The sequence below is a fragment of the Homo sapiens genome, chromosome 13 (assembly GCF_000001405.40).
Source record: "Homo sapiens chromosome 13, GRCh38.p14 Primary Assembly".
Taxonomy (NCBI): domain Eukaryota; kingdom Metazoa; phylum Chordata; class Mammalia; order Primates; family Hominidae; genus Homo; species Homo sapiens.
The window spans coordinates 41,518,844-41,545,325 of NC_000013.11; the positions used below are offsets into that span (position 1 = coordinate 41,518,844).

Sequence of the window (26,482 nt, forward strand, 5' to 3'; positions counted from 1 at the left end):
CTGAGGGAGGGAATTATTCAGCCTAACAGCCTCCCTCACCCAAAGTGATCCATGTGTCCCTCTCCTGGTTCTTTGGAGGCTGGTGGTTCCTGTGGCTTCCTCTCCATGGCACCACTTGCATGGACCCCAGCCTGACAGCCCACCTAGTGTTTCCCACCAATCAACTATGGAGGCTCTGCTTGGGCCTAGTGTCTATTCCTCGTGGGAGAGGAGAGCCTGGGGAAAGGGGGGGAGAGAGAGAGAGAGAGAGACTGTGGATACAGAATGAACTGTAGCTACTTCAAAGTGGAGAGAAATAGTGGCCTTGTGTTTTCTCAATAGCAGCGAAGCTGAAAAAGATGTCAGAGGTCTACCAGATGGTTTCAGTGAAGTTCAGTGTGTCCTTATGTACTCACTGCTTTGGGGATCCTCCTCAACATCAGAGTCCCTGCAACTCTGACTAGATCTGGGTGCATCTATCAGGGCATATGAGGATCAGAGTTGGACTTGAAAACCAATAGGCCACTGATCTGTCTCTCCTCCATTCTGGACATTGGCTAGATTTGTGTGGGTAGAATTCAGAGTTGCAGGGTCAGCTTTTGGGAGCTTTCCAGCCACTTTTCTCCTTTATGCCACATGCTGGGCTTCAGGCTGGGCCAAAGAGGCCCATATATGGAACCTGGATGCATTCTGCACACCACAGACCGCATCTCTGTGTGACCTTCCGCGTTCTGCCTTTGCATTGGATGTGAAGTAGGGTCACCTTGACTGTAGAAGGAGGGGTTGGGGCCAGGCTCTAAAGCCCTGCAGCTCTCCAACATTACAGCTTGTGTATGGGACATTGAAGAGAAATTTTTGGTGTCAAAAACAATGAGGACAGAGCATTCTTGGGGCTTTCATCATCATCCCCAACTCCAGAAAGGGTTGTGGTGGAGATAGTGGACTGAGTTGGCTTTGGGTGACCATCTCCCACAGCCTGGCCTAGGATGTGTTGTTCTGGCCTCTGAGGCATCAGAGCACCTCATGATGGCTCCAACTTGCTCCCACCCCATCACCCCTGCCATCTGTTCCCATGGGTGGGAAGACGTCCTAGCTTTGGAGCAGGCCAGCCCCATCAGGAGAAGCCAATCCGTGATGCAAGAGATGATAAACAGAGCAACACAAATCTTGTTTGGAGAGTAAGCCACTCCTTAGAAAGCAGAGCTAAGACATCCTTTTGTTGTCTAGATTCTAGGGATGATAACTTCTCACTCTTCCCCTTGATGAGTCCTTAGAGAACTGTAAACTTCCAAAGAATGCTTTGTTTAATGGGTTGAAAGAGGAAGAACTGAAAGGAGGAAATGGGGGCCTTTGTCCTCTAAAGAGTAAGCAGTGTGGATGATGACATCAACGGCCAATGTGGACGTGTCACCAGCACTGGCACCAGCAGCCCTGAGTTGGCACAATCTGGCTTCATGTGAATTCTTCTGCCACATTGGGAGTCCCTCTTGCCCTCGCTTGGCCTCACTTTTCCTAGGGAGATTACAAAACCTATGTACTTACCTGAAGGAAGTTGTGTTACATCCATGGGATAAGACGCCGGACTAGAGGGCTCCTTGGAAAAGATGGCGGATCTGAGAACCCAGTGCTCACAGGAGTAGGTGAAGCAGTCTATTGCTGTGTAGCTCTTGCTGCCTCTGACCTCCAAAGTCAGCATGAGTCTCCTCAGCAGACCACATGTGTAATTAGCATAGGGAGGCTTCTGGGAAGGCACCAGGCTTCTCAGACATAGCCATACGTGAAGGAAAAGACCCACAATCTGGAGGCCCAGGGGATGGAGGAGGAGGCTCTTGGCATTGGGTTTGGGCATTTGTCAGGGTCGTGGTTAGAAATCCCTCCTGGGCTTGTCTGCTCAGCGGTTTTGGGTGTCTGTGCCAAGGGTGGCTGGGGGGCCCATCGAGGAGTCCCCAGATCTGCGGGGTCTGATTCATCCTGTGTCAGCCCAGGGCGATGACAGATTGGTCCGATTTGGGGCAGAGAATTGCAAACCAGTGTTAACGAGAGACAAGCCTCTCCTAGATGGCTTTGGGGAACTTCTCAGCATGTGCTCCTCCTAAGCTCTTTGTCTCCTTTCCCATACTCAGCAGCAAGGCAGCCCACAGGCTCCAAGCAGTCCCTGGGGAAGCGGGGTGGTGGTGAGGCAGAGATGGTTTTCTACGGAGCCAGGATACAGTGGGGAGCAGGCACGCACATCCTCATGGGGATGTTCCAGTTACTAGCTAGAAAGGTGGCCAATTTCTTGAGATCTGAAAGGTATCAGGGTTCAGAGTGTGACTACTGGGAGGCCATTCTGCCCACACTGGCCATTGGCCAGGGCTACTGGGTACTTGATATAGCCAAGAGAAGCAGACATTGGGGGTAAGATGGCATAAAGGAATCCCCTCGTTAGCCAAGAAAATGCAAGATCCTTTTATCAGTCAGGGTTTATAGCTGCAAGCAAAAGCAACTGCCCCTGGCTGGTGAAGCAGAGACATTTTATTAACAACAGTGGGCAGCTCATAGTGTCCCTTGAGCCCTGGGGCACGTGGATTGGAAGTCGCACAGCCAGGTAGAGCACCCTAACTTCTGCCACTGAACCCATCTGGGAAAGACATATTTGCTTTGCTACAGGGCCCACTGTCAACGCCCCAACCCTGGGTGCTGGCTGGAACAGAGCCCCTGTACCTAGAAACTGGATGTTCTGCCACCAAGATCATCACTGCCCATCACCAGAACACAAGTTGTGCAGGGAGACCTGCTGCTTCTTGTAAGGGACAGAGCCACGCCACTTACCTTGTCTACCTGCCACAGGGGCTGGAGAAGCCAGTGTCTGGCACTTTTGATTTCTATAGTGATGGGTGGGTCTCACTGTGGGGGCACAAACATAGAAGGCAATACAGGTTTTTGGTGACTAAACAGATGACAGTTGTCCCCTACAAGGCATTAGGTTATAGGAACTGACTACAGGGCATCTGACTCTGCTCCTCCTTGGAAATGGCCTTCTTTTGATGCTAGTGTACCAGCCTCACCTCTGCTGAGGGTGGTGGACACTTAAGCTCAGTCATCTGTTCCTGAATATCAGATGTTCTGTGTAAAAATGCCAACCAGTAAACAATTCCTGCATTTAAGTTTTATTTTTTCAGCTTTATCGAAGTATAATTGTTTAGATTATAGATTCAATATAAAAAATTGAATCTATACAATAAAATTCAGGGTGTACAATGTGATGATTTGATGTACATATACATTGTGAAATGATAGCCACAATCAAATCAGTTAACTCATTCATCACCTTAGTTACTCTGTGTGTGTGTGTGTGTGTGTGTGTGTGTGTGTGTGTGGTGAAAACATTTAAGGTCTACTCAGCAAATTTCAAGTAAAGAATTACAGTATTATTAACTATAGAGTTAATAATACTGGTGTTTTGTATTATTAACTCTATAGTTAATAATACTTGCTGTGCATTGGGATCTGATGTTCCTGTTAGTATAGTTTCCTGTTATTATAAATGGAAAAGGTTATAAGGCACACATCCACCAATCAACTTCCCAAATGTGATTAGATGTGTTGAAACATCTATATAGGTAATAAACTACCACATTAGGATGTAAAATACTAGGCTGGGCAGCTTAGCTCATGCCTATAATTCCAGCACTTTGGGAGGTTGAGGCAGGCAGGTCACTTGAGGTCAGGAGTTCGAGACCAGCCTGGCCAACATGGTGAAATCCCATCACTACCAAAAATACAAAAATTAGCCAGGCGTGGTGGTGCACGCCTGTCTCCCAGCTACTTGGGAGGCTGAGGCAGGAGAATCGCTTGAACCCAGGAGACAGAGGTTGCAGTGAGCCAAGATTGAGCCACTGCACTCCAGCCTGGGCGATAGAGTGAGACTCTGTCAAAAAAAAAAAAAAAAAGGGGATGTAAAATACTTAAAACATAGCTTAAAACACTATAGTTGTTAAGGCCTACTTTGTAAGAAGTGACACCGTGATGCCTGTCAGTGCCAACAACTTGGGAAAACCTCATCCCCTTTGCTGAGGTTCACCATGCTTTATACAACCTTCTACATGCAGTTCTGGCATTCTGTTAAGTGTAATTGTAATGTTTCTCAAGACTTTATAGATATATTTGTTTAAAATGTAGGGTGTTATGTTTTAGGGATATAAATTTACATTTACCTTAGATAAATTCTGGCCAAAAAATGGCATTGAGAGAGATACGTATGTTCCCTGAAATTTGGATATTAAAAACCAAGTGGCATCCTGCAATGGGGATGTTAATCAGGAAGATGTTTTGTGGGGAAGGTCTTGATTTGAAGAGTATCTCCCAAATGCCAAGGGCTTTCCACATATTAGCACTAATGCCCAGAGTAACCTTAACTCCACTTTACAGGTGGAAATACCAGGGTCTTTCTCAGGGCCCCACTAGAGCTGGGACTCAAACCCAGGTTTGTTTGACTCCATAATCTTTCCAAGATAAATCCAGTTTCTTGTTTTCTGAGTATAGCTGAACAAAGCTGAAGTATTCAAGAGAAACTTTACCAAAGTAAGAGAAATCGAAAAAATAGGAGATAATAAAATTACTCAAGAGTATGAGGCATAGTTTTTTTTTAACCTTACATTTCTATTGCTTACCCATCCCATTTAGCACATTGTGTTCCATAATCTGTCTAGGATGGTGGGATGAAAGGGTGTGAGCATTGAAAGCAAACAAATGTGAGTGTGAAACCTAAAGCTATCAGTGATTAGCTGTGTGTTGGCCACTGGACCCTTCCCGACCTCAGGCTTCTCAGCTTTCAGACACGGATGATAACGTTTTCACCAGAAGATTGTGGTGAGGGCTTTTTTTTTTTTTTTTTCTTTCAGGGCGATTGTGTTGGTGGCATACTGGATATTTCTAACATGTATAAAGTTAAGTATTTTGATTGACTTTCTTTCTATGTATATGTACTTCTCTTCAAATGCCAAGAGCTTTTTCTTGCTATCATTGCCTTTTGAAACAATTCAATTTTCAAGTCTACTGTTGATTGTTATGTTAAAGATTGAGTCACTGATATTCAAGATTTAAGTCTGAAACAGTCAAAATGAACCCTCAAAAAAAAAAAAAAAGAAAACTGCTTATTGGAAATCATTACTGTGGAAATGAACTTTATTTGCCATTATGAATAATATCCAATATAAGAATATGCTTCTGGAATTCAGTACTGCTTTTAAGTACCAATGATACTTATTTTTCAAAAATGTAATGGCATGTTATTGCTTTGAAATGCTTGCTTTCATGTTATCTTAAAATGCGCTGGTGAATTCTCCATTTTTGACATCCATTTCACACGTAAAAGACAAAAAAAAAAATCTAGGTTGGCCTTAATATTGGGATGATAAAAGGTAGGTAGCATTAAGAAAATAAAACAATCTTCATGTTAGAGATGAACCCATTAAAACAATTTAGGAAATGAGGGGCAAAATGGAAGAAATAATATTCCAAAGAACATGAGCATAAAAATGAATGCATTTCAATGTTTAAGAAGGCTTGATACAAAAAGAATGTCACTTTTTGATTTAACTGAAAACAAAAGATTGTGGTGAGGATTAAATGACAATAGTGGACATAAAGTCATGTAGATTTGTGGTTCAAGATGTAGACTGAAGACACTTGTTTACTTCTCCTTCCGCCCAGGATGCCACAGAAATTACAGACAAGCTGTTAAAAAAATAATAAGGCACTCATTCTCTCTCCTGCTGCCCTGTGAAGAGATGCCTTCTGCCATGATTGTAGGTTTCCTGAGGTCTGCCCAGCCATGCGGAACTGAGTCAATTAAACCTCTTTTCTTTATAAATTAAATAATAACAACAATAAATCCATAATTTACCAGGCATGGTGGCACATTTCTGTGGTCCCAGCCACTCAGGAAGCTAAGGTGTGAGGAGTACTTCAGCCTAGAAATTTGAGACAAACCTGGTCAACAGAGCAAGACCTTGTTTTATTAAAAAAAAAAAAAAAAAAAAAAAGTCATAACTGCTGGAAGAACATCAGACCCCAGAATTGAGGAAGTTACTGAAGGATGGATTGAGGATGGTACTGGAGTGGTATAGAAAGTGGACTCTGTTTCTCATTTCCTTTCATCGCCATATTTCTTGTGGGTTATTCAGATTTGTACTTCTTCGCCCTGTGTTGACTCTGGGAACCACTACAATCTGGCTTTTTCTACCATGATTCCATTGAAACCGTTCTTATGAAAGTGTCTCATGACCTCCCCCTTGCTAAGTCCAGCATCCGGAGGTCATATCACTGTCAGTATCTTAGGCAACCTGTTAGCAATATTTGTGATAGTTTTCCACTTCTCGAAACCTTGTCTTTTCTTCATTTCCATGACACCTCAGCCCTCTGGTTTCCTTCCACCTCAGTGGTGGCTCCTGCTGTCTTCTTGGCTGGCTTTGCTCTCTCTGGCTGATCTCTGAACATCCCTGTTCCCTGGTCCTGGCCCCTTTTTCATCATCTTCAATATTCTTGATGAGCTCCTCCATTCTCACAGCTTTCAACACTATGTCTCGATGGCTCCTGCAGTTCTGTCTCTAGTCTAGTTCTCTCCTTGGAGCTCTAGACTTGTATACTCAACTGCATTAAAAGCAAAACAACAACAAAACTTTTGAGCTGGATGTAGTGGCCCATGTCTGTGGTCCCAGCTACTCAGGAGGCCAAGGCAGGAGGACTGATTAAGCCCAGGAGTTCAAGACCAGCCTGGGCAACATAGTAAAACACTGTCTCAGAAAACAAAAACAAAAACAACAACAACCTTTTTTAAAATATTTTTTTTTTCAAACTTATACAAAGCTTACAAAAATAAAAATAGCACAAAAAACACCTGCATACGCTTTACCCAGATTTACCCAAAATTAACATTCACTCCATTTGCCTTATTTTTTTCTTACTGTGTGTTCCTCTATGTGTATGTATATCTATAACACACACATATATAATATGTAATGTTATGCATATGTGTGTGTGTGTATGTGTGTATTTTTTTTCCTGGAACCATTTGAAGGCATAGCCCTTTACTTCTAAACACTTCAGTTTTCTTAGGGATAAAAGGTTTTCTCTTACCTAACCACAGTGCAGTTATCAACTTCCGAAAATTTAACATTGCTACCATGCTTTATCTTTTTTTGGTTGAACTTTTAATTTTTTTAATTTTAAATTTTTATAATTTTAATTTTTTATTTCCGTAGGTGTTCGGGGAACAGGTGGTGTTTGGTTACATGGATGCATTCTTCAGCGGTGGTTTCTGAGCCATGCTTTATCTTGTCTACCATTCACATTGCAATTTTTGTCAGTTAACCCAAAAATATCCTTTATGGCTTATTTAAAAAACTATAGTACAGGATCTAGACTAGAGTCAGATATTGCATTTAATTGTGATGTCTCTTTGGCCTCTAATCTGGAGCACTTCCACAGCCTTTCTTTGTCATTTATGACATTGACATCTTTTAAAAAACTGAGCACAATTTTATTGAATCCTTATAGTCCCTGCCCCCACCCCATGAGGTCAGAACTATTATTATTCTCATTGTACATGCAGGGAAACTGAAACATACAGAGAGTAAGAAACTTGCCTGACATCACAATTAGTAAAGTTCAGAGCTAGGATTCAAACCTGTGCTGTTGGAATCTATACCCATCAACTTGACTATCTTAGAGCTGCTTACTTTCAGTACCTTCATAACACAAAAATACCCTTACTAATGTTTTTACTGTATATTACACTGTACATTAACATTTTTGAAAAATACAGTTCCCTCTCATTTAAAAAAAATTTAAAATAGGACTTCATTTTGGTTTTGCCTGATGTTTTCTCAAGATTAGGTTCAGGTTGTTTGTGCCCTGCTGGAATAGGACTTGGTTAGGTGTGTGCTTCTCAGGCCATCACAGCTGGAGGCACACAGCATCCGCCCATGCCTCATTGGCGATGGTAATTTTGATCACCTTGTCAAAGTGCTGTTTGATTTCTCCCCTGTATAATCACTGGTTCTTCCCTCTCTCTTCCTTGTAAATAACATATGGTCTGTGGGGAGACACTTTAAGACCAGACAAATATCCTGTTCCTCATCAAAATTTACCTCTAAATTTAGCATCTACTGATGATTTGTCCCTGACCCAACCTTTACTAGGATGGTTGGAACATGGTGCTTTTCCGACTCCAACCATCACTCCCCCAACACTGACCTGTCAACCCTCTGGATTGTGCTGGAAGTAAGACCTTCCTTTTCCCTACCCATGTACTTTCTCATCTATTGATTATCAGTATGGGCTCATGACTTTCTCCTTTAATGGTTAGTAACTTTGTACTGTACTTATTAGGTGCTGAGATTGCATTTTCGTCTTCTCTTGGCTGTCTCACGGACAATTCAAACCTAACCTGTCCAGAGCAGAACTCTTGATTTCCCACCCCAAACTAATCTCCCTCCTGACCTTAGTCTTTCCCATCCTGGGAAGTCATCATCATCCACCCAGTGGCTCAAGCCAGAGACCTGGGTGTCATCCCTGAGTCCTCCCTTTCCCTCAGACCCTCAACTAATTTGTAAGCAAGTTCTCTTCTGGAATTCAATTTTGTTAAAAACGTTAATGAGCTAAATGGACAGAGCTGAAGATTGAATTAGTGGGCTGGAGGAGTGCTTTTCAAATTTTGTTGCATATTGGAATCACCTGGGGAGATTTTAAAGCTCCCAGTGTCTAGGTTGCATACTATATAAATTAATCAGACTTTCTGGGGGTGGGTCCAGACAACATCAGTTTTTAAAGCTCTCTCAAGTTTGAGTAAAAGAGGTTTCCCAGAAGGAGAGGCAAAAGGAAAAATAAAATATATAGTTGAGGGATCTGTTTGACAGATTTAGAACTTTCTATACCCATAGGAGATCCAATATATATCCTGACACCAACAGAATTTTTTCATGCTATTTGTAAAACAGACCCTTGACTTCCTAAGGAAAAGAGAGTGTATAAGAATATTTGAAGTCAAAGGGAGGCTAGTTTCCAGTTCTCAGATGTCAGAGTAGAGGTTCTGTTGAAACTTTCTTCTCAGTATGAGCCCCCAGACAACAAGGAGAATAAGAAACAGAAATGTAAACTCAATCTTTGATTAAACTAGGAAACATCTGAGGCCCAGCACCACATTTGAGGAAGGGCTGCCCAGTGAAGAGAAGGTCAACAATGTGGAGTGAGGATGCTGAAGATGCTGTGGCTGCAGCAATCTGCTCCATTCAGCAGAGAGTGCTTCTGCAAAGTGAGAGGTTCACTGGGTCCCAAACCAGCAAGAACTTACCTGAAACTGAGGTAGGAGGGAGGCAGGACCCCGACCCAGGTTGAAGACTGGACAAAGCTGGGAAAAGGTGCCAAAAGCATGGGTCTTTAAGACACACCCACCAGTGCCATGCCAGTTTACCATCGCCATGGCGACACCCAGAAATTACCACCCCTTGCCACTGTCAACACTTGGAACTTACCACCCATTTTCTAGCTAATTCTGAATAGCCTGCCCCTTAATTAGCATATTATGAAAGTGGGTCTAACTGCTGCCCTGGCTGCTACTCTCAGCACACTGCCTCCCTGCTCTGAAGGAGCACTCATGGAGCTGTAACCCTGCTTGCCTTGATAAAACTGCCCTATACCACCGGGTAGCTCTTGAATTCCTCCCTGGGTGAAGCCAAGAACCTACCCTGCATTGAAACCATGAGAACAGGGTACCAGGACCAAGGGCAATAACTTCCCTAGACCTATTTCCTCTAGGAGAGGCTGTGCTGAAAGACAGAATCTTAGGTAAACTATCTCTGCAGGAGACATTCTGAGGATGAGGCAGATGGAAGACAGGGACTGAATGATAAGAACCCCTGTAGTTGCCAACCTCTTTTGAGTGGGGAGAAAACAACATATTTCTTGTTTCTGTCCTTTCTACTCCCAACCTCTCACCTTCCCACCATACCCCCTCCACCCCAACAAGACACCTGACCAAAGATGGCTTCACAGCAGAATTCTATCAAAACTTTGAAGGAAGATATATGCAGTGTCCATAGAAAAAGAAGAAAACACATCCAATTCAACAAAAACACTGATGCTAAAATATCATAAAAGGAGCAAAAAAAGAGATAAAATTGTAATTTTACTTATTAATATTGGTGCAAAGTTTCAATTATTAGCTAATGGGGTCCAACAATATGTTGGAAAAATAAATCACTATGGTCAGGAGGACTTTATGCCAACAATGGAAGGATATTTCAATATTAGAAAATGATGAGCATAGATTTTCACGATTACCTTCATAGTTGCTGATAAGGCATTTGGCAAAATCTAATATACATATTTGACCAAAAATGTTTTATAAACTAGGAATAGGTAAATAATTTTAAACATGGTAAATAAAAGAAATATACGTATTTCAAAGTTGCCATTATGCTCAAAGTAGGAGAAAATGAGAAATTTTCTTACAGTCAGAAATAGGAGGAAGTTTCTATTGTTTTATGTTATTCTGGAAGTATCAAATCATGCATGTAGACAAAAGAATAAACTGTAAAGAGAGAGAGACATTTATAATTATTGTTATATGATTTTATATCTGGAAAACCCAAGAAAATAAGCTGAAGAGTAATTTCTAATGACAAAGGAAATTCATAAAGTTGGTGAATACAAAATCAATATGCAAAATAACTTGCCTTTCTATATACGAATAGTAACCAGTTATAATGGAAGAAAATATCCTGTTTATGACACAGTGACAAAATACTCAAGAGTAAATGACAAGACACACAAGATCTAAATGAAGAGGACTTTAAAATGCTGAGGTAAACCAAAAAAAAGGCTTGGAAAACATGTAAATACATAGTCTATTTCTGTCTAGGGATGATTAAATATCATGAAGATGGCAATTCTCCATAAGTGAATCCATAAATCTAATAAAACCCTAATAAAATATATCAATAAGAAATGTTTGTGACTAAAAGTCTACAGAAAAGTAGACATGCAAACACAGCCAGGAGTTTTCTGAAAAAGATGGAGCCACCTGATGGGGCTGGGGAGTGGGGTGGGGCCTTAGGGAATAGCTCTACCAGAACTGAAACCCATCTTTAAAGCCACAGCAATTGAAGCAATATTGTACTGGGTATGAAGAAACCTACAAATCAATGGATCAGAATGGAGACTCCAGAAATAGACACAAACACATATACAAATATATGATAAGATAGCATTGCATATTAATGAAGGAAGGTAGGCTGTTAAAAATAATGTTTATACTCCAGAGAGCCATCTGGGAAAGTGCTATGGACTGAATGTTTGCGTCTGTCCTCCCCAAATTCACATGTTGAAATCTTAATCCCCCAATGTGCAATTAGAGGTGAGACCCTTGGGAGGTGATTAGGTCATGAGGGTAGGGCCCTCACAGATGGAGTTAGTGTCCTTATAAGAAGAGACAGGAGAGAGTCTGCTTCCTCCCCCTCTCTCCCTTTGCTCTTTTCTCCCTGTGAGAATACAGTAAGAAGATGGTAATCTGCAAGCCAGAAAGAGGACCTTTTCCAGACATAGAATCTGCGGGCACCTTGGTCTTGGCCTGCCCAGACTCCAGCCCCGTGAGAAATAAATGGTTATTGTTTAAGCCACTCACTCTATGGTATTCTGTTACAGCAGCCCAAGCTGATCAAGACAGAAAACTGGACCCCTGCTTCACTTCTTATATGAACAAATGGCAATTGGATCCAAGATTTAACTTTATAAAATGAAATTAGGAAAGCATAAAATTTAAGACAATTTAAAAATAACTAAGAGAGGTCTTTTTAAGTGTTGCACAAAACTCAGAAGCCATAGAAAAGATTAACAAATTTAATAATACAAATAAAATAATTCTGCATGGCAATCAGACAAAAATCCCACTATAAACAGAGTCAAAAGAGAAATGATGTTTTGATGGGGAAACGATGGGGACAATATTTGCCACAGAAATTAAGTTATTTAATATAACAATGTGCTCTCTCAAGTCAATAAGAAAAAGAACCACCATCAAAGAAAAAGAGCAAAGAACAAGAAAAGGAAGTACGAATGGTTCTTAAACATATGAGAAGATGACTGACCCACTCATAATAAAGTAAATGCAAATATGGACAATGAGATGCCATTTTTCATCTATCTGGTATCAAACCCAAAAGTTTGATAGCATGTTGTGTTGGCGGGGATGTGCAGGGAAGTATGTCAACATATCTAAGATAAGAATATAAACAGATGGAACCTCTAGCATTGTTATCAGAATTAAAAACACGTGTCAGTGCTCTTTGACTATAGTCACACGTCTAAGGATTTATTGGACAGATATGTTCACATGTGTAGAATGTATATGCATGCATACTTCCTGAAACATTATTTTGAAAAGTAAAATCTCAGAAGCAAGCTTACTGTCTGCAATGGGAGGCTGGATAAATAACATGGTTTTCATACAGTGGAATGTAGAAGAATGAGACAGTTTTATATATACTGATAGGAAGGATTTACAAAATACATACTGAATACTTCCATAATTGTATGCTGATATATGCCTAGGATATTCCTGGAAAAAAATGGAAGAGATTTCCTCTGGGGAGGAAAACTGTATAGCTGGGGAACAGCAGTGAAAGAAAGAGGGTGACTTTATACCATGCTTTGTGAATTTTGTACTCTAGGCATGTATTACCCATCTTTTAAAAAAGAAATAGCCAAAAGAATCAGAAGAGGGGCTTTTTTCTCAACCTAATAGGATATATTTTAAAGTTATAGAAATGGAAATTGTGACATTGCTATAGAATAGGCAAGTAGATTAGTAGGACAGAATAAACTCAAGAACTAGACTGTGTTAGTCTGTTTGGGCTGCTATAACAAAATACCATAGCCTGGGTGGCATATAAATAACAGTTTAGAAGAACTGTTTATAAGAATTGTTTCTCACAGTTCTAGAGGCCAGGAAGTCCAAGACTGAGGCGTCAGCAGGTTCAGTGCTGGCTGAGGGCTCACATTCCCTGATTCATAGATGGTGCCTTCTCACTGTGTCCTCACATGGCAGAAGAGAAAAGGGAGCTCTCTGGAGTCCCTTTTATAAGGGCACTTATTCCATTCTTAAGGGCTCCACTCTCACGGCCTAGTCACCTCCCAAGCACCGTGCCTTCTAATACCATGACATTGGGGATTATGTTTCAATGTATGAATTCTGGGGGACATCAACACTCAGACCATGGAACAGACCAATATACACATGGGCATTTGGTGTGTGACAAAATGGCACTCCAGTATGTGGGGATAGATGGGTCAGTAAGCACAGTTGGTCTAATTGGTTATTCATAGAGAAGAAAAAGGTGTTGAATCCCCACCTTGCATTATGCACGAATGTAAATTCCCACTTGTTTAAAGGCCTAAATGTCCAAAACAAAACCACAAAATATTTTAAAGAAACATAGAAGAAATATGTCGTTTTGACTTTGGGGTAGGGAAGTCCTTAAAAGACAGAAAAAGCCCTCCCTTCCCACCCCACAAAAAGCTGGGTGAGGTGGCACCTGAAGTCCTAGCTATTCTGAGGCTGAGGCAGGAGGATCTCTTGAACCCAGGAGTTTGAGTCCATCCTGGACAACATGGCAAGAACCCATTCCTAAAAAAAAGAAGAAGGAAAGAAGGACGAAAGAAAAGAAAGGATGAAAACTCTTCAAAGTAATATATATATCTCTTAAATGTGTTTGTGTGTGTGTGCGTGCGTACACTGTGCATTTATATTTCAAACTCATAATAGTGGTTCCTTTAGGTAAGGTTGGGCATGGAGAGGGATTGGGAATGGTGGGCTTTAGCTTTACATGTAAAGGGCTTTAAAAATTATTATTTAAGGAATTTATTTTTTTATTATACTTTAAGTTCTAGGGTATGTGTGCACAATGTGTAGGTTTGTTACATATGTATGCATGTGCCATGTTGGTGTGCTGCACCCATTAACTCGTCATTTACCTAATGTAAAGGAATTTATTTTTACTGTTAATTATTGTCATAATTTGACACTAATCTTTAAAAATTTTTTTTATAGAGATGGGGTCTCACTGTGTTGACCAAGCTGGTCTGGAACTGTTGCCCTCAACTGATCCTCCCACTTCAGCCTCCCAAAGTGCTGGGATGACAGGCATGAGCCACCACTCCCAGTCTCTTACCTAAAAAATAATAGAAAAAATATTCCCAAACTGAAGAAAGCCAATACATCTTTAGAATAAAAGAGTCTGTTGAGTGTTGAGCATGAACAATGAAAAAAAAAAGATTCAAATCTAAATATATCCTCTTACAATTTTATAATGACAATGACATGTAGAAAAAATCTTAAAAGCTCTGAGAGAGCAGAGACTTTCAATTCATATTGCAAATGGTTTCTCCCAAAAGATGCAGCCACCGGCAATTTTCAGGAGCCTCTGGTCCTACCGTGTTCCTCTTGCCCACCTACGTTTGGCTGGGTTCTGTGGGAATAGAGGCCCTTTAGCCGATGTCCCACCTGCAGAAAGAATTGCTGAAGCCGCAGTGAGAGGGAGGTCAGCTCTGGGTTTGGAAGGTGATAATCCTCCCCAGTCTGCTCCTTTGGAATCTTGTAGTGAGGTTTCTGTGTATCCGGGAGCAGGTAAAATGAAACTACTTTGAACAGAAGTGAGCTGTGCTGCCCATCGTGGGGCCCTGAACCCTCACAATAGTGTTTCTTACTTCCCTACTCCTTCTTGTAGACCAAAACACCTGATGGTTTTGTAGGATTTTCCAAGGTACTTTCTTTACCTACTCTATCATCACTGCTGAGAGATTTTAAAATGTAAGATGCAATCGACCACCCGAAGAATGTGTGAGCCTGTGGCATAGAGCTGGGTCCTCTGTCTTAAGGCTGCAATTTCAGGAATTTCTTAATGTATCTTTTATGTGTTGTGATGATGAAAGACTCTAGTGGAACTCCCTGTTTACACAAAATGTGACACTTACAAGTTTCCAAGAAAACGCCCTGCCTGTCTGGCAAAACGGAGCTACCAGAAGACTTGGAATCAGGCGAGGATGCTTCTGATATGCACGTTATCCACACCCCACGGGACAGAGCTCTCTTGCCAATGGTTGGCGGAACACAGGAAAGGCTTGTTCTGGAAGATCCTTCTATCTCAAACCCATACAAACACTCTCAGCCCTGCTCAGGCTGGAGCTCAGGATGCTCTTGTTGCAGCTTCAGGGAGGGGGCTCAATTTCCTTTGGAGAAGATGTCTAAATCCTCAGAATGCAGTGGCCCAATGCTATAAACAACATCAAACGTGAAAGAGCAAACTAGATATAACTGATGGAGGATGAATATTATTCCGATATTTATTCTTCTGGCAACGGAGTGTGAGGGGCTCATCTCACTACACTCTCGTATTACTGGAACTACAAGACATAAAAAATGACATTCCGCTTTTTTTCGACACAAAGTCTTGCTCTATCACCCAGGCTGCAGTGCAGTGGCGTGATCTCGGCTCACTGCAACCTCCGCCTCCTGGGTTCAAGCAATTCTCCTGCCTCAGCCTCCCGAGTAGCTGGGATTACAGGTGCCCATCACCACACTAGGCTAATTTTTGTATTCTTAGGAGAGACGGGTTTCACCATGTTGGCCCGGCTGGTCTCTAACTCCTGACCTCATGATCTGCCTGTTTCGGTCTCCTCATGTGCTGGGATTACAGGTGTGAGCCACCGTGCCTGACTGATATCCTACTTTTAAGTGCCATTGGTTGAGTGCCTGAGAAGAAAACATTTTTTCCTTATGATTGTTCCTTTTTGTTTTGTGTTTGTTTCACAGTCTGGCTATGAGGAAATGATTGTTCCTTTATAAATCATGAATTTTCTGTCATCTGTGAATTTTCTTTTCTTTTTTTTAATTTTATTATTATTATAGTTTAAGTTTTAGGGTACATGTGCACAACGTGCAGGTTTGTTACATATGTATACATGTGCCATGTTGGTGTGCTGCACCCATTAACTCGTCATTTACATTAGGTATATCTCCTAATGCTATCCCTCCCCCCTCCCCCCACCCCACAACAGGCCCCGGTGTGTGATGTTACCCTTCCTGTGTCCATGTGTTCTCATTGTTCAGTTCCCACCTATGAGTGAGAACATGCAGTGTTTGGTTTTTTGTCCTTGCGATAGTTTGCTGAGAATGATGGTTTCCAGTTTCATCCATGTCCCTACAAAGGACATGAACTCATCATTTTTTATGGCTGCATAGTATTCCATGGTGTATATGTGCCACATTTTCTTAATCCAGTGTATCGTTGTTGGACATTTGGGTTGGTTCCAAGTCTTTGCTATTGTGAATAGTGCTGCAATAAACATACGTGTGCATGTGTCTTTATAGCAGCATGATTTATAATCCTTTGGATATATACCCAGTAATGGGATGGCTGGGTCAAATGGTATTTCTAGTTCTAGATCCCTGAGGAATCGCCACACTGACTTCCACAATGGTTGAACTAGTTTACAGTCCCACCAACAGTGTAAAAGCGTTCCTATTTCTCCACATCCTCTCTAGCACCTGTTGTTTCCTGACTTTTTAATGATCGCCCTTCTAACTGGTGTGAGATGATATCTCATTGCGGTTTTGATTTGCATTTCTCTGATGATCAGTGATGATGAGCATTTTTTCATGTGTTTTTTGGCTGCATAAATGTCTTCTTCTGAGAAGTGTCTGTTCATATCCTTTGCCCACTTTTTGATGGGGTTGTTTGTTTTTTTCTTGTAAATTTGTTTGAGTTCATCGTAGATTCTGGATATTAGCCCTTTGTCAGATGAGTAGACTGCAAAAATTTTCTCCCATTCTGTAGGTTGCCTGTTCACTCTGATGGTAGTTTCTTTTGCTGTGCAGAAGCTCTTTAGTTTAGTTAGATCCCATTTGTCAATTTTGGCTTTTGTTGCCATTGCTTTTGGTGTTTTAGACATGAAGTCCTTGCCCATGCCTATGTCCTGAATGGTATTGCCTAGGTTTTATTCTAAGGTTTTTATGGTTTTAGGTCTAACATTTAAGTCTTTAATCCATCTTGAATTAATTTTTGTATAAGGTGTAAGGAAGGGATCCAGTTTCAGCTTTCTACATCTATGGCTAGCCAGTTTTCCCACCACCATTTATTAAATAGGGAATCCTTTCCCCATTTCTTGTTTTTGTCAGGTTTGTCAAAGATCAGATAGTTGTAGATATGCGGCATTATTTCTGAGGGCTCTGTTCTGTTCCATTGGTCTATATCTCTGTTTTGGTACCAGTACTATGCTGTTTTGGTTACTGTAGCCTTGTAGTATAGTTTGAAGTCAGGTAGCGTGATGCCTCCAGCTTTGTTCTTTCGGCTTAGGATTGACTTGGCGATGCAGGCTCTTTTTTGGTTCCATAGGGACTTTGAAGTAGTTTTTTCCAATTCCGTGAAGAAAGTCATTGGTAGCTTGATGGGGATGGCATTGAATCTATAAATTACCTTGGGTAGTATGGCCATTTTCACGATATTGATTCTTCCTACCCATGAGCATGGAATGTTCTTCCATTTGTTTGTATCCTTTTTTATTTCATTGAGCAGTGGTTTGTAGTTCTCCTTGAAGAGGTCCTTCACATCCCTTGTAAGGTGGATTCCTAGGTATTTTATTCTCTTTGAAGCAATTGTGAATGGGAGTTCACTCATGATTTGGCTCTCTGTCTGTTGTTGGTGTATAAGAATGCTTGTGATTTTTGTACATTGATTTTGTATCCTGAGACTTTGCTGAAGTTGCTTATCAGCTTAAGGAGATTTTGGGCTGAGACAATGGGGTTTTCTAGATATACAATCATGTCGTCTGCAAACAGGGACAATTTGACTTCCTCTTTTCCTAATTGAATACCCTTTATTTCCTTCTCCTGCCTAATTGCTCTGGCCGGAACTTCCAACACTATGTTGAATAGGAGTGGTGAGAGAGGGCATCCCTGTTTTGTGCCAGTTTTCAAAGGGAATGCTTCCAGTTTTTGCCCATTCAGTATGATATTGGCTGTAGGTTTGTCATAGATAGCTCTTATTATTTTGAGATACGTCCCATCAATACCTAATTTATTGAGAGTTTTTAGCATGAAGGGTTGTTGAATTTTGTCAAAGGCCTTTTCTGCATCTATTGAGATAATCATGTGGCTTTTGTCTTTGGTTCTGTTTATATGCTGGATTACATTTATTGATTTGCGTATGTTGAACCAGCCTTGCATCCCAGGGATGAAGCTCACTTGATCATGGTGGATAAGCTTTTTGATGTGCTGCTGGATTCAGTTTGCCAGTATTTTATTGAGGATTTTTGCATTGATGTTCCTCAAGGATATTGGTCTAAAATTCTCTGTTTTTGTTGTGTCTCTGCCAGGCTTTGGTATCAGGATGATGCTGGCCTCATAAAATGAGTTAGGGAGGATTCCCTCTTTTTCTATTGATTGGAATAGTTTCAGAAGGAATGGTACCAGCTCCTCCTTGTACCTCTGGTAGAATTCGGCTGTGAATCCATCTGGTCCTGGACTTTTTTTGGTGGGTAAGCTATTGATTATTGCCTCAATTTCAGAGCCTGTTATTGGTCTATTCAGAGATTCAACTTCTTCCTGGTTTAGTCTTGGGAGGATGTATGTGTCAAGGAATTTATCCATTTCTTCTAGATTTTCTAGTTTATTTGCGTAGAGGTGTTTATAGTATTCTCTGATGGTAGTTTGTATTTCTGTGGGATCGGTGGTGTATCCCCTTTATCATTTTTTTATTGCATTTATTTGATTCTTCTCTCTTTTCTTCATTAGTCTTGCTAGAGGTCTATCAATTTTGTTGATCTTTTCAAAAAACCAGCTCCTGGATTCATTAATTTTTTGAAAGGTTTTTTGTGTCTCTATTTCCTTCAGTTCTGCTCTGATCTTAGTTATTTCTTACCTTCTGCTAGCTTTTGAATGTGTTTGCTCTTGGTTTTCTAGTTCTTTTAATTGTGATGTTAGGGTGTCAATTTTAGATCTTTCCTGCTTTCTCTTGTGAGCATTTAGTGCTATAAATTTCCCTCTACACACTGCTTTGAATGTGTCCCAGAGATTCTGGTATGTTGTGTCTTTGTTCTCATTGGTTTCAAAGAACATCTTTATTTCTGCCTTCATTTCTTTATGTACCCAGTAATCATTCAGAAGCAGGTTGTTCAGTTTCCATGTAGTTGGGTGGTTTTGAGTGAGTTTGTTAATCCTGAGTTCTAGTTTGATTGCACTGTGGTCTGAGAGACAGTTTGTTATAATTTCTGTTCTTTTACATTTGCTGAGGAGTGCTTTACTTCCAACTATGTGGTCAATTTGGGAATAGGTGAGGCGTGGTGCTGAAAAGAATGTATATTCTGTTGATTTGGGGTGGAGAGTTCTGTAGATGTCTATTAGGTCTGCTTGGTGCAGAGCTGAGTTCAATTCCTGGGTATCCTTGTTAACTTTCTGTCTCGTTGATCTGTCTAATGTTGAGAGTGGGGTGTTAAAGTCTCCCATTATTATTGTGTGGGAGTCTAAGTCTCTTTGTAGGTCTCTAAGGACTTGTTTTATGAATCTGGGTGCTCCTGTATTGGGTGCATATATATTTAGGATAGTTAGCTCTTGTTGAATTGATCCCTTTACCATTATGTAATGGCCTTCTTTGTCTCTTTTGATCATTGTTGGTTTAAAGTCTGTTTTATCAGAGACTAGGATTGCAACCCCTGCCTTTTTCTGTTTTCCATTTGCTTGGTAGATCTTCCTCCATCCCTTTATTTTGAGCCTATGTGTGTCTCTGCACATGAGATGGGTTTCCTGAATACAGCACACTGATAGGTCTTGACTCTTTATCCAATTTGCCAGTCTGTGTCTTTTAATTGGAGCATTTAGCCCATTTACATTCAAAGTTAATATCGTTATGTGTGAATTTGATCCTGTCATTATGATGTCAGCTGGCTATTTTGCTCGTTAGTTGATGCAGTTTCTTCCTAGCCTTAAAGGTCTTTACAATTTGGCATGTTTTTGCAGTGGCTGGTACCCATTGTTCCTTTCCATGTTTAGTGCTTCCTTCAGGAGCTCTTTTAGGGCAGGCCTGGTGGCGACAAAATCTCTCAGCATTTGCTTGTCTGTAAAGTATTTTATTTCTCCTTCACTTACTAAGCTTAGCCTGGCTGGATATGAAATTCTGGGTTGAAAATTCTTTTCTTTAAGAATGTTGAATATTGGCCCCCACTCTCCTCTGGCTTGTAGAGTTTCTGCTGAAAGATCCACTGTTAGTCTGATGGGCTTCCCTTTGTGGGTAACCCGACCTTTCTCTCTGGCTGCCCTTAACATTTTTTCCTTCATTTCAACTTTGGTGAATCTGACAATTATGTGTCTTGGAGTTGCTCTTCTCGAGGAGTACCTTTGTGGCATTCTCTGTATTTCCTGAATTTGAATGTTGGCCTGCCTTGCTAGATTGGGGAAGTTCTCCTGGATGATATCCTGCAGAGTATTTTCTAATTTGGTTCCATTCTCCCCGTCACTTTCAGGTACACCAATCAGACGTAGATTTGGTCTTTTCACATAGTCCCATATTTCTTGGAGGCTTTGTTCGTTTCTTTTTATTCTTTTTTCTCTAAACTTCTCTTCTTGCTTCATTTCATGCATTTCATCTTCCATCACTGATACCCTTTCTTCCAGTTGATCGCATCGGCTACTGAGGCTTCTGCATTCATCACATAGTTCTCGTGCCTTGGTTTTCAGTTCCATCAGGTCCTTTAAGGACTTCTCTGCATTGGTTATTCTAGTTATCCATTTGTCTAATTTTTTTTCAAAGTTTTTAACTTCTTTGCCATTGGTTCGAATCTCCTCCTGTAGCTCGGAGTAGTTTGATCATCTGAAGCCTTCTTCTCTCAACTCGTCAAAGCTATTCTCTGTCCAGCTCTGATCCGTTGCTGGTGAGGAGCTGCATTCCTTTGGAGGAGGAGAGGTGCTCTGATTTTTAGAGTTTCCAGTTTTTCTGCTCTGTTTTTTCCCCATCTTTGTGGTTTTATCTACCTTTGGTCTTTGATGATGGTGACGTACAGATGGGTTTTTGGCGTGGATGTCCTTCCTGTTTGTTAGTTTTCCTTCTAACAGACAGGACCCTCAGCTGCAGGTCTGTTGGAGTTTGCTAGAGGTCCACTCCAGACCCTGTTTGCCTGGGTATCCGGAGCAGTGGCTGCAGAACAACGGATATTGGTGAACTGCAAATGCTGCTGCCTGATTGTTCCTCTGGAAGTTTTGTCTCAGAGGAGTACCCGGCCATGTGAGGTGTCAGTCTGCTCCTACTAGGGGGTGCCTCCCAGTTAGGCTACTCGGGGGTCAGGGACCCACTTGAGGAGGCAGTCTGCCCGTTCTCAGATCTGAAGCTGCATGCTGGGAGAACCACTGCTCTCTTCAAAGCTGTCAGACAGGGACATTTAAGTCTGCAGAGGTTACTGCTGTCTTTTTGTTTGTCTGTGCCCTGCCCCCAGAGGTGGAGCCTACAGAGGCAGGCAGGCCTCCTTGAGCTGTGGTGCACTCCACCCTGTTCGAGCTTCCCAGCTGCTTTGTTTACCTAATCAAGTCTGGGCAACGGCGGGCGCCCCTCCCCCAGCCTTGCTGCCACCTTGCAGTTTGATCTCAGACTGCCGTGCTAGCAATGAGCGAGGCTCCGTGGGCGTAGGACCCTCTGAGCCATGTGCGGGATATAATCTCCTCGTGTGCCGTTTTTTAAGCCCATTGGGAAAGCGCAGTATTAGGGTGGGAGTGACCCGATTTTCTAGGTGCCATCTGTCACCCCTTTCTTTGACTAGGAGAGGGAATTCCCTGACCCCTTTCACTTCCAGGGTGAGGCGATGCCTCACCCTGCTTTGGCTCACGCACGGTGCGCTGCACCCACTGTCTGGCACACCCCAGTAAGATGGCCTGGTACCTCAGTTGGAAATGCAGAAATCACCCGTCTTCTGCATCGCTCACGCTGGGAGCCGTAGACTCGAGCTGTTCCTATTCGGCCATCTTGCACACATGTTCTCATCTGTGAATTTTCTGTCCATGTCCTTTGTCATACACCTATTGGGACATCAATGGATTTTGCTGTTGTTGGTCACTTGGCATGAGTGCATTCAATACAAGTACACTTGGCCTGTCATATATATGGAAAATAATTTTCCTAACTTGCCTGAGTTAAAATTTGGTTGTTGCTGTATTTTGTCTTGCAGAAACCTCCAGTTCTTAAGTGATCATGAAACCTGTTGCTATTTCCTTTTAAACATATTTCCCCTATTCCTTTTGTAGGGCCATTCCAGAGGAAAGAGCTTCTTGCAGTAGACTCTTTCTGAAAATGACTGACTTCTCTGCAAGTCAGGCAACAATAATGATATAGTTCCTAACAGTAAGTGTCAATGCACTTCATCTGATTTGATGAAATTTGGGGGCAAGGACACAGTGGCATACCAAGGGTAGGTGGTGGGAACAGCCTACCCTGCATGCAGGCAATAAAGGAGTGCCTTGTGTGTAGCATCATTAAAAACAGTAATAAAACTGACTACACGTTGGTCAGCTTTTTATTATCACTATATGCTGGTTATTCTAAGCAATGTCCGTGATGAAGTACTTACTCCTTCCCCCCAAACCATTTATTAGTCTAAGTCCTAAACAGTTGCTGCTATTAGTGTTGTCTTTTAGTGATATATGTCCAGGCTTAAAGAGTGCACATTTTATTACTTATGTTTTAATAAGTATGTTTAATTGCCTTCTACATGGAAGTTAATTTGGAACACCTCCAATTACACAGGATATAAGCAGAGTCAGTTGCAGGCTGGTTCCAAGAGTCAGTTTGCAAGGGTGACAATTCAGAATTGTTGGCGCTCACTTCTGGGGCAGTTGGTTCCTTGTACTCCGGATCTACGCCGTATTCCTGTGTTGAATGAGTAGGGTGGAAATGAATGAGGCTAGCTCGGTGAACTGGATTCACTTCAGTTCTGTCTGTCTGGGTGCGAGCCAGTCTCTAAAGCTTTGGAGTTCACTCTTTTGGAAGTGTTTCTTCGTGCATGCCCCCACTTAAAAAAAAACACATTAGGGTAATGATTAATCCATGACTTTTTAATTTTTGTATTGTAATATTTATTTTGCTTTTATTAAAAAGTTTTTACAGGCAAAATTATATATACAAAGTTCAATCCTGCTACTAATTTCTCTGGCCATTAGTATTCATTTCATTTCATTATGACCGAAGATGATTTCATTGTATGTGGGGATGTTGAAGGTAATCTGCTTGAAACTAATACAACAGTTGTGCCACAGCAGGTGTGTTTCCCAGTCTTCACCACAGGGCCTTGTCACATGCAAGCTGGAAGAGCAGGTGGCAGGTATGGTTGTGAAGAAGGGATGGCCAGCAGGACTGGCTGGTTTCTCATCATTCGACTTCCATTCAATGCAGGTCAACTCTCCTGGGGTTGTCCTGAGCAATGCCTCCAGATCCGTGTTGACGGTGCCTACTTGGCCTTGGGGGACAACCCACTGAATACACAAGAGTGTCTTCTGCAAGCAGCCCTGCTGCCCCTCCTTGTCGGATGTGTTCTTTCCTGCTGCTGGTAGGCAGGTGGGGCTGGCTCCCCTCCCCTGGTCCACCAGCGAGATGCGTCACTGTGGTCTCTCTCCATGGTGGCCGGTGACAGGCTGGGAAAAGGCTTCCTCCAGCTGCTCTCGGCCTGGCAGATGCAGGAGATGCGGTGCCCCTTGAGCCTCGTGGTGTTGTTGTCTTTGTTACAGTCTCTGAGGACTCGCTGGGCCACAGGCAAAGAGAGAGCAACCATCTTTTTCTGTCCCACAAAACTGCTGACATGGTTTTGACACTGTCTGGAGTCATAACGTCAGGCTCACTTGGCGTAAGCACCTCAACTTGAAGAGCAAGTGGGAAGGAGGGCATCAGGTGCCTGTGTTTAGTGTTGGTTCAGTTCTGAGTTCTGCCAGTGATTTTGAGAGGTGAAGCCAGCTGGACTTCTTGGGTCCAGTGGGGACTTGGAGAACTTTTCCGTCTAGTTAGAGGATTGTAAATGCACCAATCAGCACTCTGTAAAAACACACCAATCAGCGCTCTGTGTCTAGCTAAAGGATTGTAAATGCACCAATCAGCACTCTGTAAAAACGCACCAATCAGTGCTCTGTGTCTAGCTAGAGGATTGTAAATGCACCAATCAGCATTCTGTAAAAATGGACCAATCAGCACTCTGTAGAATGGACCAATCAGCACTCTGTAAAATGGACCAATCAGCAGGACATGGGAGGGGCCAAATAAGGGAATAAAAGCTGGCCACCTGAGCCAGCAGCAGCAACCCACTGGGGTCCTCTTTCATGGTGTGGAAGCTTTGTTCTTTCACACGTCATAATAAATCTTGCAGCTGCTCACTCTTTGGGTCTGCACTACCTTTATGAGCTGTAACACTCATCATGAGGGTCTGCAGCTTCATTCCTGAAGTCAGCAAGAATCATGAACCCACCAGAAAGTACAAACTCTGGACAAGCCACCTTTAAGAGCTGTAACACTCACTGCAAGGGTCCGCGGCTTCATTCCTGAAGTCAGCGAGACCACGAACCCACCAGAAGGAACCAACTCTGGACACAATTTCAGGAGGGTCGGCCTGAGGTTGTTAACCCTGCCACAGTTCCATGCCACCGGGAGGAGCCTCAGGAGCTGTCCAGTTCCAGAAAGAGACTGCTTTTTTGGAGCTGATCGCAAAGATGCTTGGAGTCAAGGGAACTGATTTTGTTATTTAGAGATGGGATCTTGCTTTATTGGTCAGACTGGAGTGCAGTGGTTATTTGCAGGCACAAACATAGTGCACTACAACCTGGAACTCCTAGGCTCAAACAATCCTCTTGCCTTATCCTTCTGAATACCTGGGATTCCAGGCACGCACCATCGCACACAGTTTATTATATTTTGACATCTTAAAAAACCCTTTCTGGCTGGGGAGACACTGGCTCTTTGGAGCTAGTCAATCCTTAGAGACAGCAAGAGGGCATGCCTTTGATATGCAAACTACCCAACCCAGGGCATACCTCATCCATCTGGCCCGCATACCCCAGGAGGCTATGTTCCTCTGCCTAATCACCCCAGGGCCAGGTGCCAGGCAGCTGGAGACCGCCCTGACAGCCCAAAACCCTTCAAAATTATCTACTCTAGCCCATCTTAAGCTGCTCACCCCACCCTGGCTATCCCAAGGAGACTCCAACAAAGGCCGTGGTCCAAGCTCATCCTGCACCCCTGCGTTCTGCCTCCTGACCAACACTGGTGCTTCCCCTGTGGTCCTGCTTGGTATGTGGTGACCCCCTTTCTGGAGCCTGTGAGTGTAATGGACTTCATTGTCCTGCGCCTCTCTTGCATCTCCTCTTGTGGCTGTACCTGACCTGACCATTGCTTGAAAGGACAGAGCAGGGAGGCTGAAAACATCTTCGCTGTTTGCCTCGGGCTCATACCTGTTCCCCTTGGGTGTCCTTTTCTCTTTCTCCAGCCCCAGGTTGATGAGTGACCCATTCATGATTTGTGTCCTGTGCTGGGCAACTTGATCCTCCCGCTTCCTGGGAAGGTGATGGTGGTTATGTCACCATAGTGGAGATGTGGCAGCAAACAGATTCTCACAAATGTGAATCATTCTTGGCATAACTTTGATGTCACATAATAATAATAATGATAAAAAGTCCCCTTTCCCACCAGAGGTGAGATATAAAAAGCAAAACTTGAGTGAGGATGGAATAACCTATCCTGCCATGGTATAGTTTTTGCTTAAGCAAAGTTCTGTTGAATGAAGACTTGTTTGCTTCTTGGTTCTTAACTGGGTCTCAGACTATGCATGTATGCATGAGAGACGGAGAGAACTAGACACACACACACACACACACACACACACACACACACACACACACCTGTCCACACAGATGGCATCACCATTAAAGTCAGGCAATAGGACCCTTGCCTGGGTTCCCTTTTTGAGAAAGGTGCTCCGTCTCTCCTTTGACTGTGCCCTAAACCACATTATGAGGAAGCTGAAGGGCCAAGGAGATGCACTCATAGGAAACCATGCTTGCCCTGCTAGGCCACATTCTGGGCATTGGGGTCCTGAAACACTGTGCTCGGGGGGGCCCTGAGCCTGCTTCCAGAGCTTGCATGGGCTTCTCTCCTGGGCTTGTCCTGAAGGGAACTCCTCATTGTTGGTGTGTGCACCCTAGATCCAGTGGGGCCAAGGGCAGCTGCTGCGGCAGAAGGGGATGGGAGAGGAACATGCGAGAGAAGCAGCAGGCTGGCAAGGTGAGGAGGGCTGAAGGCTCATACCTACATCTGCAACCTCCCCTGGGCCACATGTACTGGTATGCCAGGGATACAGGGCAGTGTGCCCCTGCCTGCCTCGCCACATGACTTTCTTAGAGCAGTTGTTCAACAGGAGCCCTGATTCTGAGGATATTTTCCCACTAGACTCT

General features: G+C 42.6%; 1 long non-coding RNA gene across 1 annotated transcript in view, besides 2 other annotated features; it reads left to right on the plus strand.

Annotated features, from left to right (window-relative positions):
* The window catches only part of LOC105370174 (uncharacterized), a 46,924-nt gene that overhangs the window by 1,676 nt on the left and 18,766 nt on the right, over positions 1-26,482 (plus strand). The window lies entirely within an intron of this gene.
* Positions 2,161-2,330: an enhancer, noted in NCBI's record as "experimental_32874 CRE fragment used in MPRA reporter constructs". NCBI's record gives its function as "activates a minimal promoter by MPRAs in K562 erythroleukemia cells, with activity observed for both the introgressed and non-introgressed 13:42095225 variant alleles {active_cell/tissue: K562}" and the evidence as "EXISTENCE:reporter gene assay evidence [ECO:0000049][PMID:34662402]".
* Positions 21,144-21,664: an enhancer, noted in NCBI's record as "NANOG-H3K4me1 hESC enhancer chr13:42114123-42114643 (GRCh37/hg19 assembly coordinates)". NCBI's record gives its function as "activates a minimal SCP1, AML or CMV promoter by ChIP-STARR-seq in naive H9 embryonic stem cells {active_cell/tissue: H9 hESC(naive)}" and the evidence as "EXISTENCE:reporter gene assay evidence [ECO:0000049][PMID:30033119]".